Genomic DNA, 18,791 nt, shown 5'->3' with positions numbered 1-18,791 from the left:
CTCTTGCTTTGTTCTAGATAGACGTGGATCGTTGTAGCAAACCACAAGGACTCAAGGCATGTTTTGCCAAATTTGGAAGTAGCCTAATCTAGCCAATGCAGGTGGATAGTCAGAAGCCACACAGTTTGAAATAGAAAGTTACAATAAGGTCGAGTGTCAAATATCTCAGTATATTCCAACTTGAAAGCTTTCATTCAAACTATGAAGAAAAACAATGAGGAAGGTAAAATAATGAAGTGTTAATATTCAAAGTCAACTCGTGACTATTCAAAGCTCAAAATCTTATTTTTGTGAGAAGTGTTGGTGCACAGCTTGGAAACAACACACACTTTGGGAACAGAGATCTGGGTTTGAATCCCACCTCTACTGTATACTAGATATTTGACCTGATGGATGACACACTACTTTTCTAAACATCAATGTCCTCAACTGTGAAATGGATTTAGAACACTTTTCTCACAGAGTTGTATTTACTAAGCTAATGTCTATATAGCTTTCCCTCTACACATGCTACATAGGAAACATTTTGAACTAATAGCCATTTTTATTGGGATTCATACTATTTCCATGAATCAGTTCATATCATGCATTCTCTCATAAGCCTTTCTTGACTACCTTTAGCTCAACTCCCACAAACTTATCTTATCCAGGGAAGAAGCAACAGCTGAGGAAACAGGATCTCAAAATACAGAAAAGGTCTCAAAATATTAGTATCTGGAAAATTAGTCAAAATCTCTGGGGGAGGCCTTGGAAGTCCATTGGAATCAGAAGTTTTAAAACAATTTATGGGGCAAGAAAGGATTTCTCTCACATTTGCGTTAAAATTATTTCTTTAAAAAGCACTTTGATGTAAACATTTGCAAAATGGTTTTTGAAAAACCTGCTGCTTTTCAGAAATCCAGCTACTGAGTCAATCAAGTGAAAGTGCAGATACTAAATTTACTGACTTGTTATTAGGCACATCTGAGTTCGTGTCCCAGTTCTTCCGCTTATGAGCTGGAAGCTTGGATAATTTGCTTGACAGCTTCATCATTCAGTTTCCTCATCTGTAAAACTTGACTTTAAGAGAAAGAACTATCTCTAATGGGGAAAAAATATATATTTTAAGGACCAGCCGTCAAAGGTGGGCCTCAGGAGGCTTTGCAGATAGGCCATGACCAAAGTCAAAAAGGAGGCAATCTATGCTCCACCCAAGAGAGAAAAGGGAATTGGAGGCTGCCAGGATGATGGAGAAGGGAAGGAATGGAGAACCCCTTTGTATTTATGTTTTTATAAGGCCCTCACAGACTGGGTCTTGATCAGCCTCAGTTAAGTTGTTTCCCTCGCCAAGGCTGATATCATTTTTCCTGACTAGACCTTCACCCAACAGCAGCAGGTGACTGATAGCAAAGTTAGTTTACTAAGTTGGTTAGTAATTGCAAAATACATGTGCTACTTCTTGATTCAGGTGGCCTCACTGGATTATTCTTCAATCATGATTCCACCTTGATGTCAGCGAAGGACCTGGGAAACATACACATCTACAGAACATATTTCAGGTCCTCACCCGTTTCACCTCTTGGCTCGAATGGCTCCTTCTCTGAGAGGCCTTCACCAACCACAAAATAGAGGCCTCCACCTCACACCACTTCCTAGTCCTTTAGTCTGTTTTATCTTTATTCACAGCACTTAGCATTTCCTGATAGTTTATAATATATTTATTTGTTTATCCGTATGACCCTTTGCAATGTACGTTTCATAGGAACAGGGACTTTGTTTAGTTTTCAGTGTACCCAGTGGTGTGCTGGTACATTTAGCAACCAACTCTCTAGAAAAGAGAGAAAAAAAGCCATGACTGGTTTCCATGGTGTAAAGACTCCAACTATGCCCAATTTCAAGCCACGAATATGATGTCACAAAATGCAGGCTTGGAAAGAGATGCAGAAATTCACCCTTGCAAGATGGTGCAAGCCAGCTCTAGAAAACTTCCGGCTTCTAGGACAGTGCCTTCCTTACGGTAAGAACCCAGCAAATATTTATGAATGGCTGAATGTGGAGCAGTTCAGAAGCATGCAGCAGCTGAAAAGTGGATGCCAGCCTCAGGGAAATTGACATCTACCACTCAATGAGTAGAGTTTTATGTATTTTCTTGGTCACTCAGCAATGCTCCTAACCCCAAACTTGCCTGTGCAAGATCTCAAAATCAAACATTGAGTGGGAAGGCTTTAACTGTTTTACTCTGAAAGTTGTGTATGTGTATTTTAAGCAATTCATTTCTTTTGCTGAAAAAGGTAATTTAATTGCACTGAGATAGAACATTTAATTAATAATATTGTAATTTCACTATCTATGTGTAAATGCTCCTTCTTCAAAAATAGAGTGAAGTTCTTTGAGGTCAGAGACCATGATATACTCATTTTAAGAAATCTCTTTTAGCTTAGGCAGAGCACATTGCAGATAAAAGTTTCTCCGTAATATTTATAGATTATTATTTAATACTAATTCATTGCAGGGCTTTTTCTGGCTTATTAAGAATATGGATTTTCAGTGACCAACTCTACTTGCCTGGACAGGGTCAAAACGACTTTAAAATTCTATTTAAGCATCAGTTTCCCTGTTTTTTTCCATTCTACCTATAAGATTGAGATTCAGTAACAAGTCATGTTGTGTATTTTCAGAAGTTTCTTCCGAGGCTTTAAAAAAATTTACTTTTCTTTTTTCGTTTTCGTGGCAGCAGAGTGGAGGGGGAGGGGGTGTCAAGTCCCCTATTTTCCATACTGATTTTTTAAAAGGAAAATGAAGATCTAGTTTAAAGTGCTTTCACCAAACAGGAGCAGAATGAAATGGAGAAACTTAAAGGATCTCTTTCTGTGAATAAAATGACAGATAAAATATCTATTTTGCTCATATATTTTTCATTCACAGACAGTTCATTTCAGTAAATATCTTACCACCTGCACTTGTCTATTTTCCAAGGTTTTTGGGAAATTTCCAATAAGTTCAGTTGGACTCTATAGTTGGTATTTATGAGGCTGTGCTTAAAGGAAAATTGCATCAAGGATATCATCAGCTAAATTTTTTCTGTGTTTTTCTTGAACATGAAGTTGGCAAAAGCTCTCAAAAGCCTTATCAGGTCATAACTCAAAGATACATGTGGCCTCCACAGCTGGGTTAATATTTACAAAGCACTCTCCGCCCCCAGCCTTTTTCTAATGTGTCTGTCCCATGGTTCCTGCCTTTTTGGAGACTGTTAATACCGAAGATTAGAAGAAGCCAAATCTACACCAGCAGAAAATGCCTACTGTGGACTCCCTTCAGAAACATTCCTGCAAAATAGGCTCTGTTGGTCTCTTCGAGTGAGTTGGGAGATTTCTGAATGCCCTAAACCAGTGTTTCTCACCCTCAGCAATGTTACATTTTGGGCTAAATCATTCTTTGTGATGGGGCCATCCTGAGCATTGCAAGATAGTTAACAGCATGCCTGGCCTCCAGGCTCTGGATTCCAGCAGCAACCTCCACACAGTTATGACAACCACAAATGTCTTCAGACACTGCCAAATATTCCCTGGGGGTGAAGGAGCAAAATCACCCCCGTTAATGACCAGTGCCCTGGCTTCTCACCCTGATGCATGTAGTAAGTACATAGTGAAGGATTTTCACAAGGCAACTTTAAGAATTGCCTTATATTTTGGGGGTTCAGAAATACTGATTACGTATCCCTCCCCATCACACACGAAGAGCCAACAGTACCTGTGCATTCTTAAAGTCCACTTTTCCCTGGTGTGAAGTTTTTAATAACAAAGCATGGGGTTAAGATGGCCAGAAACGTTCTTGAACAAAATTACGAAGGAAGTATCATGACCTCAATGTCCCTGCATGATAGAGGAATCCATTATCACTTTAGAATTTTTCTGCAAACCATATTTTCTCTTTAGAGAAATAAGACTAGAAAGCACAATAGCAAGAGTGGGGCCCAAATGATGTGGGTAAAACACTGGATCCTCGGGCCGGGCACAGTGGCTCGCGCCTGTAATCCCAGCACTTTGGGAGGCCGAGGAGGGCAGATAACGAGGTCAGGAGATCGAGACCATCCTGGCTAACATGGTGAAACCCCGTCTCTACTAAAAATAAAAAAATAAAAAAAATTAGCCGGGTGCAGTGGCGGGCACCTGTAGTCCCAGCTGCTCAGGGGGCTGAGGCAGGAGAATGGCGTGAACCCGGGAGGCGGAGCTTGCAGTGAGCTGAGATCATGCCACTGCCCTCCAGCCTGGGCGACAGAGTGAGACTCCATCTCAAAAAATACAAAACAACAACAACAACAACAACAACAAAACCACTGGATCCTCTACTGATTTATTCCTTTGACAAATAGTTCATATACGTCGGCTGACTGAATGAGTGACAGCTATGTGCTGGGTTGTCTGCTAAAGTTGGAAAAATAATAATGAGCAAAAACATTTGGTCCCTGTCAGAGAAGGTACAATCTAATGGGAAGATTTTACACCAATGATCCTGAATCTACAAACAGATTATATGCTTCCAAGGTCCTAAGAGAGTGGCAATCAAGAAACATGACCCATCCCATTTCCTTCTTAGGATGACACAAGCCTTGAAAGATGAATTCAAGTCAAAGGAGAACTGTGGAGGGAGTATTTCAGACAAACGGGTCAGCAGGTACAAAAGCCTATAGGAGAGAGGGGATAAAACGAGTAAGAGAAATGAAAAAATTAGTAAAGGCAGTGGCTCTGGAACACAGGAAACATGGGGTGAGGTTGTGCACAGAAGGCCAAGTTGCTAAAGCTGACTTGCTGTATGCAGGTACCACGAAGCAAGCTGTTCTTTGCCCCATCAATGGATGTGCGTTGAAGGGCTTCAAGCGGTTGCAGTAAAGATCATATGTGAATCTTTCAGAGCTCTGTAATTGCAGTATGGAGGATGATCATGGGGGTGGAGGGGTGTTGGATGACATATAATGGAAAAGAGTAAGTTTTACTGGTTCTTCAGGTGAGACAGGAGGATTGCTTAGACTCAGAGAGTCCAATAAAAGAGAGAGGTAGAAGAATGAGTGTCATTTGGAAGGTAAACCAACAGGAGGTGGTGCGGGATTTGACCAAAGTCTCCAGTTGGCAAAGACTAGTTATTTACACCTGGGGCCCCTTCTGATGGGTTGAAGTCCTTGCTGGACTAGTCTTCATTATGCTTTCTATATTCCTGGAAAGATTGGAGATGAGGTTGTTCAGAGAAATAGATGATTCAGGATACTCTTAGTTTTTTTGATTATGCAATGGGATGGCTGGGGTGGTGTGTGTCCAGAAAGTAAACACTAGCTTGTGCTAGAAAATTGTGAGCTTTATAGTGAACATGGTGAATTTAAGGTATTACAGAAGGAGGAGATCTGGTTTCCAGTTCTGTGAGGGAGGAGCTTGGCAAGGATATGAAGAATTGGCTAGGGAGGCCATTTTGCAAAACTCCCTTTAGTAGAGTAAAATTTGAGCAAGTATTAAGCAGGGGCTGACCACTTTTAGCAAATAATAACAGAATTATAAAACAAACAAAAAATGCTGATTGTCAACCACAGTTTTCCCCTTCACCCCATCTCATGTAGGCCTTTAATATGAGAAAGAATCTTGTGCACAGCTTTCTGCATGAGTCCCTGGTAGGAAAGGACGTTTACAGTGTTAGGAATGTTCTGACCATTTCTGGAAGGGGATCATTCACTTATCATGTTGTGTCTTACCCAGGACATCTGTAGGAGAGATTCTCCTTTTCTTCACCTTGCATCTGCTCAGTATCTTAATCCCAAATTGTGGGAGTGAAACTCTGGCAACCTTTAAGGATATAATTTGCTTCCTATTACATTATTTCTTCCTGTACAAGGGAGACCAAGTGTTTGTCATTTACGAGTGTCATGTCATTACATTCCATATTGCAGTGTAATGATGTGAAATGATTAAATGACAAAATGCCAGCTCACTGCCAAAAATTTAAAGTGGCATACTTTTATTTGTAGATTGGAAAGCTATTATTAATTTTTATATTGACTTTGCCAGATGAAATAATGCAAGGAGACTGGTACATACAGAAACAGGGCAATATTAGGTGAGGTTCTGAGCCCCAATTTCAGCATAAATGGGAAGATTCTGGAGCCTTCCTCAGGCCACACATCCAGAGCTAAATGTATTAGTTTAGAACAGTCTTGTCACCTGATGAATGTGGAGTGACAGGCATCAAAATACAACCTGACTGAAGTTTTTATTGAGAAGAAAAATGGGAATTGAGAACAGGTGGCTAAGAAGCCAAAATGGTCTATACACCCTTTTTCCTCCTCTTTCACCAATTTTTTCCATTAGCACTTATTGGGAGGTTGAATTTTGTTATTTTTTTCTTTTAAGCAAACAATAGCATGCAAATGACCAGCATAAAAATCACATCATAAAATTACCAAAATCATTTACAATTGGCAAAGTTACAATTTCTCCTTCCCCTACCTCAGGCTATAAAATCTCATGTGCAGATCTTTGAAATCAGTTAAAAATTACATTCTCAGACATATGTATTTTTTAAGCTGTTAAAGTTCAAATATGCGTAACCTCAAGCATTTGAGGATTTGTGACAAAACCTCTTCTCATGTGACAGTTCTCACTTTTGCTTATGGCCCCCAATCATAGCAACAAATTCATTGCCCAGTTCCATTAAGAGCTGTCTTATAACCATATTCATGTGACTTTTTTCTGTTGTTTTTGTTTGTTTTCTCTCCTTTGAGCAATTTTTATTCTTTTCTTCGTGGGGATAAGAGAAACACGATATGTCTTGATCTTGTCACTTTTTTTTTTTTTTTTTTTTTTTTTGGGACAGAGTCTCACTCTTGTTGCCCAGGCTGGAGTGCAGTGGTGCAATCTTAGCTCACTGCAACTTCCACCTCCTGTGTTCAAGCGATTCTCCTGCCTCAGCCTCCCAAGTAGCTGGGATTTCAGGGGCCCGCCACCACACCTGGCTAATTTTTGTATTTTTAGTAGAGATGGGGTTTCATCATGTTGACCAGGCTGGTCTCCAACTCCTGACCTGCAGTGATCCACCCGCCTCAGCCTCCCAAAGTGCTGGGATTACAGGCATAAGCCACTGCACCCGGCTAATCTTGTCACTTTTACTGGGTCTCCCATCCAAGAATTACCCTTGCTTTTGGAATTCTCTGCCCTGGAACTCAAAAGCACATTACAGATGGTTTGTATTTTGTTTTATTTTCCTTTTCAACTTTTCCCTTTAATGTAAGCTAACACCTTATAGTCCTAGCTCAATTTTTATTACATACTATTGTTGCTTTTGTTGAGGACATTGTTTTGTCGTAAAGTGCTCTTGGGTGAAAGTTGATTGATTGCATAAACGGGTGTGGAAGAAGAAATCAAGGTACATGGTGTTGTTTTGTTCTTTTTGTTTGTTACGTATGGACGCTTGCATGGCCACTCACCTGTGGCTCAATGAAGGCACCAAATGCTAATAAGTTCGTAGATATAGACAATAGCTCTTTGTTTGCCAAGATGGCCGGTACTCTTGGCTTTTGCTGCCACACCGGAGGCATGTTGCCTTTTGCTTCTGGCACATTGGCAGGGATACAGAGTACATGTTCTTCATGGAAAGGGACTCATAAATGGACAATTGCTCAGGTAACAAAACTGTGAAGAGCTCATTTGGCTTGTTGAAAATGCTTAAAAGTTTCGTGATTAGAAAGACATCACTGTCAGAAAATCTACTCTGGATGAAATGACTTGCCATTTTATTTGAGTTTTCAATGAATCACAGCATCTTTGTTTGGCCCTTGCGTTGTCTTCACCAAAAAGAACAAAGTAGAGAAAAGCTTGTGCCTGCAGTGCTGCAATCAGGAAATGCTGCTCCATTCTAATCCTTTCTTCTATGACTCCTTTTGAGTCTTTGATTTCTACATCTCTTTGGCGCTAGCTCTTGTTTGGCAGGTAGTGAGAACTAAGGGTTCTCTTGGAAGACAATACACTGAAAAGTATTGGAGGATTTTTTTTTCTTTATATATAAATGGCTTTGTCATTCTATCTTAAATCATGAATACATAAACTAGCTGCCAAGAACAGCTCAAATGGCTGCATCAAGGACCCTGAAATAATAGGCTTGCTCCACCCACCTCTGCAAAGGACATTGTATTAAGCCTGTCCTGACCAGCACAGGCAGAGCAGTGAGTTAACCTAAGACCTTTGTCACATTGTTATGGCCAGTGGGTGTTATATGTGTTTTCATAAATAAATGCTGCTCTTCAAGAAGTCTCCACCTTTCCTGAAATCATCTAAAACCTTGGGCATCTCCTTGATGACAATTATTGGTTCATTTTCTCATGCATTCAACCCATGTTTAGGTGCTCATGTAAGTGCTTGAGGTGAATAATAATAGGTCAGACACAGTTCCAGCAGTCATCTAACTTAGATTCTAGTAGGAATGACAGAAAGAAGAAATAAAAAAACAAGAAAATTTCACATGGTGAAATGAAGAAATGAACCAAGGTGCTGTGATTGAGTGCAAGTTAGGGATGGTATAGTCACAGAGAGTGTCCCAGAGGAAGTGACACCTGAGCTGAGAATGTATGCTGGAGTGCCAGTCATGTTACAGTCATGGAAGCACATTTCAAGCGATGGGGATGGCAGGTATAAAGACTGTGTGACAAGAACAAGCTTGGGCAGGAAGCAGTCTGGTGTGAAAAAATGGCGTTAAACTACAGGAAAGATAAGAATTGAATCAGAGGAGTCAACAAGAACCAGCTCATGCAAAGGCTTTCGAACCTAAACTGCATCCCCAAACTTGCCTGGCCTTCCTTTGTTTCTCGTTTGTTTGTTTTGTTTTTGGAGTGAGTCACATATATCACTCCACTTTCAGGACAATAAGAAATACCACTGTGATATAAGCAGTGATGTTCTGGGGCATGAATGGATTGCTTAATGTTGACTGATGTGTAAAATTTACTGTTGCTACACCAAGGGACACATACACTTAGGTATATGTATCTGTCAGCTGCAACAAGGGAGTATAAAGGATGTCCACTGTAGTGTGCAGCAGAGTACAACTTACAGTGATAATAAGTAAGAGAGGCCCCTTCCCCGTTCTGCCTGCCTTGATTGAGGGTGTGCGGCCTGGAGCTGTGGCTAACATCTTATACTCAAACCTGGGAAGAGGAAGGCCATCTCAGAGACTCTAACTTCCATGCCAGATATCCTTGAGTCCATGAGCCATGGTTCATTAGCCACTTACCTCCAGACTTTTTGTTATGTGAGAGGTGAAAATCTGACTTGTTTAAAAATAATGTGATAAGTTAGAGGCTTAGAATAGAGTTAAGCTTGTGAAAAGAAGAGGGTCTACTGAAAATTCGAAAACTTTGTCTCATGAGTTTATAAGAGAACTCAGAGCAGCAAACAGTTCTACCCATGAGTGACACAGTGCCAAGGTGGCAAGGGAAATTGAATAACAGTAACAGAGAGAGGCATGGTGTACTGGAGTGATAATCAAGAGGTAATTATTAACTGTCTATTTTAGCATGGTCTTGAGTTTTTTATTCTTCTCAAGAATGCAATCACTTTTTCAGGAACCGAAAGAATTAAGAAACTTTTTTAAAAAGGTGAGAGACACTGATATATCCAGTAAACAAAGAGGAAAGACCCTTCTCAAGTAGCAAAATTTTCACCTGTGCCTGGCATCACAACACCTGTTATTGATCACCAAGATCCTGCCATTTGGAATCTCAGTCCAGACATGAAGGACAAGTTATTTAGCCTGCCCACTCCTAAATGGCATCAGTGTCTGATCCTGGTTCAGGTTCCCTGGCTACATTATCGGCATGTTCCTTCTAGTTTCCAAATCTTACTCTCTTTCTCTAGTTACCTCTCAGGTTTCAGATTTTTATTAAGTAACATAGAAAGGTTGGCCAAAGATTATGAGTTTCAAATAAGTTTGTGTGTGTAGGGGGTTGTATAAGTAGAAGCTGGCTTTCTTCAAGTTAAATTTTGTGTAGAAACCCACTAGGTAAAAGAGAGGAAAGTGGGAATGTCACAGTTGAAACAGGGGTGGCTCCAGTGCCACAGGCTCCATCTGCCTTGCTCTATGCACCGTTCCTGAAGACAGTGCATTTGGGATGCAGACAAACACCTGATCCAGAGGGCTTTAAATGGAGAAATAAAAATTCTCAGACAACACCCACAAGAGCAATGATGTGGAAACACACCTGGAAATGTGCAGGTGGGGAAGGTATCTGGTTCAACATGGATTAAGTGCTATTTATTAAGAGTCCAGGTCTTTAGTGTTCATTACCCTAACTTTACTCTCATTAGAGAATGGGGATTAAGAGATGGAGTTTGGTGCCAGAAGTCCTGTGTCTAGCTCCACACTTGCCAGGTATGCCACATTTGGCTACAGGACCCTCTTTGAGCATTAGTTCCATATCTGTAAGATGGGGATGATCCTCAAGGATATACAGAGAATTTAAATGATTTGTCCAACGTCATTCATGAGCATGGGCCTTGAGTTGCAAACCCTAAGCCTTCTGACTTATTAAGTCCAGTACTCTTTTTTTCTTGTTAATAAGAATACCTTGCTGGAGATTTACAAATAATTTGGAAAAAAAATGAAGAAAGGAAGAAAAGAAGGGAAAAGTACAGAAGGAAAGAAAGCAAAGAAGGAAAGAAGTGAGGCAGGAAGAAAGGAAGGGAGGGAGGGAGGAAGAAAGGAAGGAAGGGAGGGAAGGAGGAAGAAAGGAAAAGAGGGAGGAAGAAAGGAAGGGAGGGGGGAAGGAAGAAAAAAAGGCAGATTTTGCAACTATACATAACTTAACATTCATGCACCATGTAAAAATAATGTGGACTTTGTTCAAAATTTCTACCACTAGTCATTCACTGAATTAAAGCAGTCATTTCCTTCCTTTTCCTGATAAGATCATTTTTCTGATTTTGACAAACTTTTATGATTAACAACAGGTAGGTACTGAGAAATTGAGCAATTCACAATAGAATGGATATGGCAGCAGCTTCAAAATTTACAAAATAGTTGATTATGATCACATGCTACACCCTCGACTTGCTGATGGGGCAGCGTGGATTCAACCAGGAATGTCCTCCTTCCTGAATGGATGATGATGGGGCAAACACAGCGTTCCAGTCACTAGACATGTACCTCCTATGCAGGTGGGCACACAAGACAGCTGACTAAGGTAATGTTCACAAACTTTTGATGTCAATTAATTAATCATTAATTGTATCAGACAGGAAGGTCTGCAAAGGATATGGCAAAAGATTGATCAGGAATTGATGGGGGGGAGGTGGGGATATAAGGCAGGAAGGTCAAGGTATAGTTAAACCACAGAGGACCATGAGCCAGGAGTCTGGACTGTGTTTAAGGATGGAAGAAAACCTATGTTTTCCCCTTTCCTCTTGAAGAGAGAGATTGGTAGTCTACCCTTCCTCACATCCCTTACCCGATCTCAGCCACTCACATCTGAACTCTTGTCTGACACAAGCTATTAGTATCACCACAATAAATCAACTCATTTTCACCAGTTTTCATACATGGAAGAGCCTTAGTGAAATTGGGGGACCTTGCAATCCCTCCATCATAATGAAAGTAGCCAAGAAGCAGTCACTTAACAAAACACTTATCAAGGGAAGAAGTCAACACCAATGATCTTGCATCTTCTATTTTCATAGCATGGCTCACTTCACTTTTAAAAGTAATTTTAATGAATTATCTCCCAAAATACTAGGATCTTAGATTCCAAAATATATTTTGGAACAGATAGGCCTCCAACAAGTAATTCTTGAAATTATTAATATTTCTATATTCATATACATCTGATAACAGCAGAAGTACCTTTTTTATTGGAAGAAATGTTACATTAAAACTGGAACTCATATTTGACTGACTTCGGAGGGATGACCAAAAATAGAAGTTGGCTTACGTATCCTTCCATTTTTAGGGGAGTGAAGATATGCATTTAGACACTTGATTTTCTTAGCTTAGGGAGCACTGTAGGCTAAACTGCTTTGGCCCTGAGGGACTCTTTGCTATTGGCAGCCCTGGGCAGTGTAAGGTTTTAAAAATTCATTTCTGATATATAGTTGACATGGATTTTTTTAAGTGTTTAAAATTGTACTGGGTCGCTACCTTGGCCCTCAAAGAATTCTGCTCCTATTGGTTCCTGGTTCTTGCTCCTCCTTCTCATATTGCCCTAACTTCACATTGAGTTCCATTTCCAAGTTGGATATTTGTCTTTTTGCAGGGAAGAAATGCATGAGAAATTTGCAAAGAGGGAAAGCCAAGAGCACCTGTAGTGTTCTGGAGGTAGCTGCACACTGACATCCCTTCACACCCAGTGGCCTCTTGTGAAAGAGAAGGCAATGCAATGCCGTCGGAGACAAAGCCCAGCTGAAGAGAGGCAGTGCACTTGCTGATGGGTAATGTACAGGAGGGGGCGTGGTTGGGTAATGCAGTCAGCTGGGTTATACACAACTCTGCGGAGAATGAGGACGAGATGCAAGCCAAGGTTGTGTTTTCCATTTGCAACTTAATGTTGCTGCTGACATCCTTACAAAGGGAAGGATAATGAGCAGACTACATCTCCTCTCCCAACCCAGCCTTCTGAGCCCTAAATGAAGCAGGTAGGGCCAGCTATCCCCTAGAAACTAAAACGCTGCACACTGTTATGAAAAGGCACTTCAGGTTTCAGAAAGAATGTGTTCCTACGCTAGCAAATTTGCAATTAGGGTAATGATGGGAAAATAATGTGCCTTTTGCTCAAACAAAAAGTATCATGAAGGGTCTAGTGAAAAACTTGTTGGATGAGGAGCTCATAAAAGGTTGAGTTTCTCTTTCTGGCTTTGCAACTTAATAGCTGTGTGACCTTAAGCAAATCACTTGGCTCTTCTGAGTCTCTCTTACCGACGTGTAAAAGGGCAATTATGATTGTTGTTCTGCCTGCATTGCAGGGTTCTTATGAGGATCAAGTAAGTTTATACATAGGAAACTCATGTGAGTCAAAAAGCATTATACTAACACAAGATATTATCACCAGGCTGTACTTCATTTGTTTTTCACTGTTAAATTTGTAATTCCTCCAAAAGAACGAGAACAACGGCCTAAGAGCATGCATTTCCCTTGCAAAGGAAAGATGGGGGAACATTCATCCGCTAAGGCTTCTGTTCTATCACCTTCATCGTAAAACCACCCACCTCAATAGCAGGGCAATGATTTAGGTAACAGCTCAGTTTTAGAGGCCAATGAGTGTGAAAGCTGCTTAGCAAATGGGGATGCCATCACCCCTGAAGTGGTTGGCAGTTGGAGGCTTCGTGAACATCAAGCGCAAATCACTTAGGTACATGAGACATTTATGATATGGGGCAGTAAATAATGACCAGAGATTGCTAGTAAAATATAGGTGAGACCCTTACTAATTTCCATACACAGAAGAGAAATTCTCTGTGAGGATAGGAATGTAAGATGCAGAATTATGAAGAGTTAGTGTGTGTATGGATATACACATATACAGTCAGCCCTCTACATGCCTGGGATCTGCATCTGTGGATCCAACCAACCCCAAATAGAAAATATTCTAAAAAGAATTGTGTCTGTACTGAACATGAATCGACTTTTTAAAAACTGTCATTATTCCCTACACAATACATTATAACAACTATTTACACAGCATTTACATTGTATTTGTATTATAAGTAATGTGGGGATGATTTAAGGTATACGGGAGGATGTGCAGAGGTTATATGCAAATACTACACCATTTTATATTAAGGGCTTGAACATCCTCAGATTCTGATTTCTGAGGGAAGTCCTGGAACCAATCTTCCACAGATACCTAGGGATCTGTATATTGCATATTTGCAGATTGTATATATATATCTCTCTAACATATTACGTGTTTTGTTTTGTTTTTACATTTGCCAGATACTAAATGAAAAGCAGGCAGAAATCAGCAATGCATCCAGCTTCTGTTGAGGGAGATTCAGTGGAATGATTTTTATATTTTCATGAAGAAATTACAGTTGAATATTAAAACCTGGTATTTCAGTTTATCTGGTCTGACTCCCATCTAACTAACCAACATAGCCATGGATTTTGTAAAACTCACTTAGCAAATCATCTTAATTGGTACCAAAAAAGTGATGGCTATGGAAATATTGGCATTTCTATGTGCATAACTGATGTTTTTATGAGGATAAGAGGGAGAGAAGAATCACATTTCAAAGAAGCTTCTACTGAAATAAACTAACCAGAAGAACTAATTGTGGCATACTTAACAGCTTTGAGCTTTATGTGTACACTACCTATGTTTCCTGTTCAGCAAGTGAATGTCCCCAGGCCGGTAGGGGCAATGTGAAGATGAATCTTATATCTCCAATTTCTCGAAGAACATTTATTCATCTTCCTGGAATTCACTCATTGCCAGTTCTTTTAGAAATACTGACACAGTTAATAGTGTCTAATGTCGTGGATGACTGCCTTCCACCGATGTCGTGACTTCCCACCCAAGAACCAATGACTTCTTTCTCTGTGATTCAGCTCTCCACTGACCCTCATGGGCAAGAGTGGGGTTTCAGCAATTATTCTTTCAACCTCTATTGATTAATCACACGATATAAGCCAGACACAGTTCTGGGCAGCAGGATACAATAGTGAACAAGACAACCCCAAATCCCTGCTCTTGTGGAACTGACATTTTCTCATGGGGTGTGGGGGTTGGGGAAGAATGAGAGATGTTAAATGCAAAACCAAAATAAAAGAAATTTTAAGATCATGTGATAGGGAGTGGCTGGCTGGTCAGGGATAGCCTCTCCAGGACTGGGACATTCATGGGAGTTGACATGTGAATTATGAGAAGAAGCCGACAATGCCAAGATCACATGGCAACACGTTTCATGCAAAAGAAACAGCCAGCATGAAGCCTGTGAGCTGGGAACAAGACCGGCTCAGGTCAAGGGACAGACAAAAAGGCCAACAAGGCTGAAAAAGAATAAGGAAGAGGAGAGGGGTGTGAGGTTCAGCAGGAAAGATCTGAAGGACTGGGTCAGACAGGGTTCTTCAGGACATGGAAAAGAATTTGAATTTTTTAAATAAATGCAATGAGAAGACACTGGAGAATTTTAATCATGAGGGTAACATAGTCTGTTTTGCATTTGAAAACTAACATTGTGACTGTTAGGCAGCAAATGAAGTTGCCCTCCCCCAGTCCATCCCTGGCCGTGGTTGATCGAAACATAAGTGACCATCTTACCCGGTGTGTTTTTTGTCACTATGGAATTTGCATTTAGGAACAAAGGGTCTGTGTTTATTCAAGTGGTCTCTTCATGGGGCCGATACTGTAACATACATAGCTGGGGGTCTGAGGCAGCCACGTTGTGCCAAGGGCACTGAGGAGAAAATGGCGGCCTGCTGGATTCTTCTTTCTTCTGAGGCTCAGGTGACTGCTTGTCCTCATATCACTCCACCAGACTGTCAGGAGCTAAGCGGAGCTCGAGAGAGCTGAGCTGCCAGGTGTCAGGGTAGCTGATTAAGACAACAAGCCAAGATGAACAGTGAAGGCTTTAATCATTTACTGCAATAGTATGCACAAGAGACTAAACCAGAGAAAGTGCCGACTCCCCATCATTCCATTTTCCCCAGCGCACCAGCCCTCATTGAGGGTCTGGATCAGCACTGAAGCCAAGGGATTGTCTCACAGCTGAGGGACCCCTGAACAAGAGACTCCCGCCATCAAATGGATCTGGAGCTGGCGGGGGGTGGGGAGAAGGAAGGGCTATGAGTGTGAAAGTACTGAGCACTGAGTCAGAGTGGAGAAAAACATCTCCAAGCCTCCCCGCTTCTTCTCCTTGATAAGGTGACCCCTGCAGAGGTGTCTAAGATAAGCCTCTGCAGAAAGCCTGTGATAAAGAGGCCTCCAAAGAGAGGCACCTGGGCCAGGAATGTGGATGTGCATAAGAGCAAGGCTGGCTGGGGGGACTCAGTGCTTGACTGCAACTCCCCTCAGAGACTCAATGTGTCGGCTGTGCCCCAAGTCTGCAGTGGGGAGGGCAGTTTCTCCCCACGAGGTCTGACAGGTAAAGCCTGGTATTAATAATTGCTTATGGCCAGATGTGAAAGTTCACACATAGGTTTAGGGCTACGAACTGGTACTCCAAACAGACTATGCTAGGTGCTTACTATAAACCCATCTACAGTAGAGCTTGAGTAACTTCTGCTGCTTGAAACTGGCACTCTAACTAATGAAATTTAAAATGAACCCCAAAATGAGTTAGAGTCAAATAATGACAGGATGTGGGAAATGATCACAACATAGGTATAGACTCCAGAAAAATGGGCACCACTACCCATAAGAAGACGCCCAGAGATATCTTGCAGACTATTTAAATTGAGAGCAAGAGTTTGAGCCTGTACAGTATTTCTGGCAATCCAAAGAGGCAAACCCAGGGGCAGGAGCTAGAGAACTTGAAATATAACCAGAGTGGCCTATCTCTGAGCTTACCTGTTGGCTTACTCTTTGCCAGAAATTTCTGTTGTGCAACAAGAATGATAACAGTTGGGAAGAGAAGAAAGGTGCAAGAGAAGCCCTTGACTATCTCACCAAACCCATCCCCTCCCTCTGCTTCCTCCTTCACTCTGCTTTGGCCCCACTGGTCTGCTCCCTGTTGCCCGACAAGTTCACACCCCAGGTCCCTTGTATATGCTGTTCCCTTTGCCTGAATTGCTCTTCCCTTCAGCCCTTGCTAGACTCCTTCATTCAAGCCTCGGCTGAAACGTCACCATTTTCAAGAGTGACCTGGCCATTCCATCCCAAATGGCAGTTCTATCACTTTTTATCCCCTAACAGTGGTTTCTATTTTTCTTTATAATACTTATCACAACCTGATATTATGATTGATTGCTTTGTTAGTTCTTGTGTCTTCCTGTGCCCACACTAGAATGTAAGCTCCACGAAGTTGAGAGCTGTTTAGTTCATAAATCACTGCATCCTCAGAGCCTAGAATAGCACCCAGGAGTTATTAGTTACTCCATAAATATTAATTATATGAATGGATGAAGGAAGAAATGAAAGAAGGAAGAAAGAAGGAAGAAGGGAAGGCAAGGGAGGGGAAGGGAGGGGAGGAGAGGGAAGGCAAGGGAAGGGAAGGGGACAGGAGGGGAGGGGAGGGGAAGGGGAGGAGAGGGAAGGGAAGGGAAGGGGGAGGAAGGAAGGAAGGAAAGAAGGAAGGAAGGGAGAAAGAAAAAGATGAGAAAGGGGAAATAAAATATCTTAGATTCTAATTAGAGGAGCAAAAATGAATTATAAAAGCCAAACATGTAAAATAGAAAAATCTCTGAGTGTTTTACATTTAAAGTTAATCTTAGTTTGTTTTATTCATTCGTTTATTCCTCTAATAAATATTGTCTGAACATCACATTCTAGGGTTATCAGAGAAGGCTGGATCTTAAAGGTGAAGACCATAAAGAAAGGACAGTGAGATCAAAAAGAAAAGATCTGTGTAGAAACAGTAAAAAAAAAAAACCTCACACATCAGTGTGTCTGAGCAAAGCCAGGTTGAGAAATATTCTTGCTTAACTATCAAACCTAACAATATATTTTTCAGATGTGAGAGATGGAGTAAGAGAAAACCATACCACAATGGCTGCTGCCAGGCAGGAGTACGTCTTGGGCTGCTACTGTGGCTTCATCACGTCCCCATCCTGTGCTTAGAGGAGACCTCATGGTTACAAGGTGGCCTCCCTCACTTCTAGGAGGACATGATATCTAAAATATTTCACAAATGGTACAGATCTGGAGGCCCCTGCTCTTCCAGGAGTTTTTCCCTTTAGAATCACAGGGAGATCCAGGGGGCTTGGGCAAGGCACTAAGACAAAGAGGGACACTTGGGGAATTCAGGAAAGTTGCTATTTACCAACTGATGGGAAAGTCTTTCAGCATTTTCACAACTGCACCACCGTATCTGTGGTAGCAGCTGAATATCCGTCCCATTTCTAGAATTCAGGTGGAAGGAGGAGGGAAGAAGAAGGGTGTGGGTTTCTCTTTTAGCAGGGCATTGCATTTATTTCCTAAGAACATTCTCCCAAGAAACTAATACCCAAATCTCACTGGGCCAAAGTAGGCCACGCGACAACTACTAACTGCAAAGGGGCATGCATCTGTGTTTTCCAAGCCTCTGCAATCCAGAGAGGCAAGGAAAAGGGAGTTGTGACTGGCTTTTGGAAAGCCACTTCCCAGTTTCTGCTACACCTTATCATTATGGTTTGGGAAGGGCACGATTAAAGGCCAGCTCATCTATCCTAGAGGTGGGCAAATTGAGAACGAGGATCTCAGAAAGCAAAAAGCCCAACTTAAAGTAATGCATTATATTTTGAACACTGAATGTTTGACAATACATTTCACGGCTCATTTCCTGCTACTTGTGAATGCTAGTAAACACTCAGAGAGCGAATTCACATTTTTCATGTCAAATATCCTTATGGTTCTCCCCTCCCCCAGCTTGTCAACAGTTAAACAGGCCCCTGTGAGGACAGTCTGTTCACACTATAATCTTCTGCGACACTAAACCTTAATCTGTCTTAAAAATTTCTATTGTTTTTCACTAAAAGGTTATTCCAGAAATATTTTATAGAGCACATTCATTTTCTTGGCTGAGAATGAATTGCAAAATCAGAGACACTCTAACCAATACTGAATCTCCCTTCCCAGTCCAAATTTAAGAATTTCATGCGGATTACTCATTGCCATCTATCTAGCTAATTCAATGTCATTATTTTTCTCTGGTCCA

The 18,791-nt window shown here is 41.2% G+C and overlaps 1 long non-coding RNA gene across 2 annotated transcripts in view; it reads left to right on the top strand.

Moving 5' to 3' along the window:
• LOC105372668 (uncharacterized) overlaps positions 1-15,118 on the top strand; it is a 54,483-nt gene extending 39,365 nt beyond the window's left edge. The window contains exons 1-4 of one of the 2 annotated variants that reach the window (XR_936865.3): positions 225-1,996; positions 10,959-11,191; positions 12,257-12,431; positions 13,933-15,118. This is a non-coding gene — a long non-coding RNA (uncharacterized LOC105372668). Of the gene's footprint in view, positions 1-224; positions 1,997-10,958; positions 11,192-12,256; positions 12,432-13,932 lie in introns of those variants that run through there. The other variant, XR_936864.3, reaches the window with a different exon arrangement.
• Positions 15,119-18,791: the final 3,673 nt, after the last annotated feature.

Source organism: Homo sapiens, chromosome 20, assembly GCF_000001405.40.
Source record: "Homo sapiens chromosome 20, GRCh38.p14 Primary Assembly".
Classification (NCBI taxonomy): domain Eukaryota; kingdom Metazoa; phylum Chordata; class Mammalia; order Primates; family Hominidae; genus Homo; species Homo sapiens.
The sequence above is the reverse complement of the archived record's forward strand: the minus strand, read 5'-3'. Positions and strand labels throughout refer to the sequence as shown.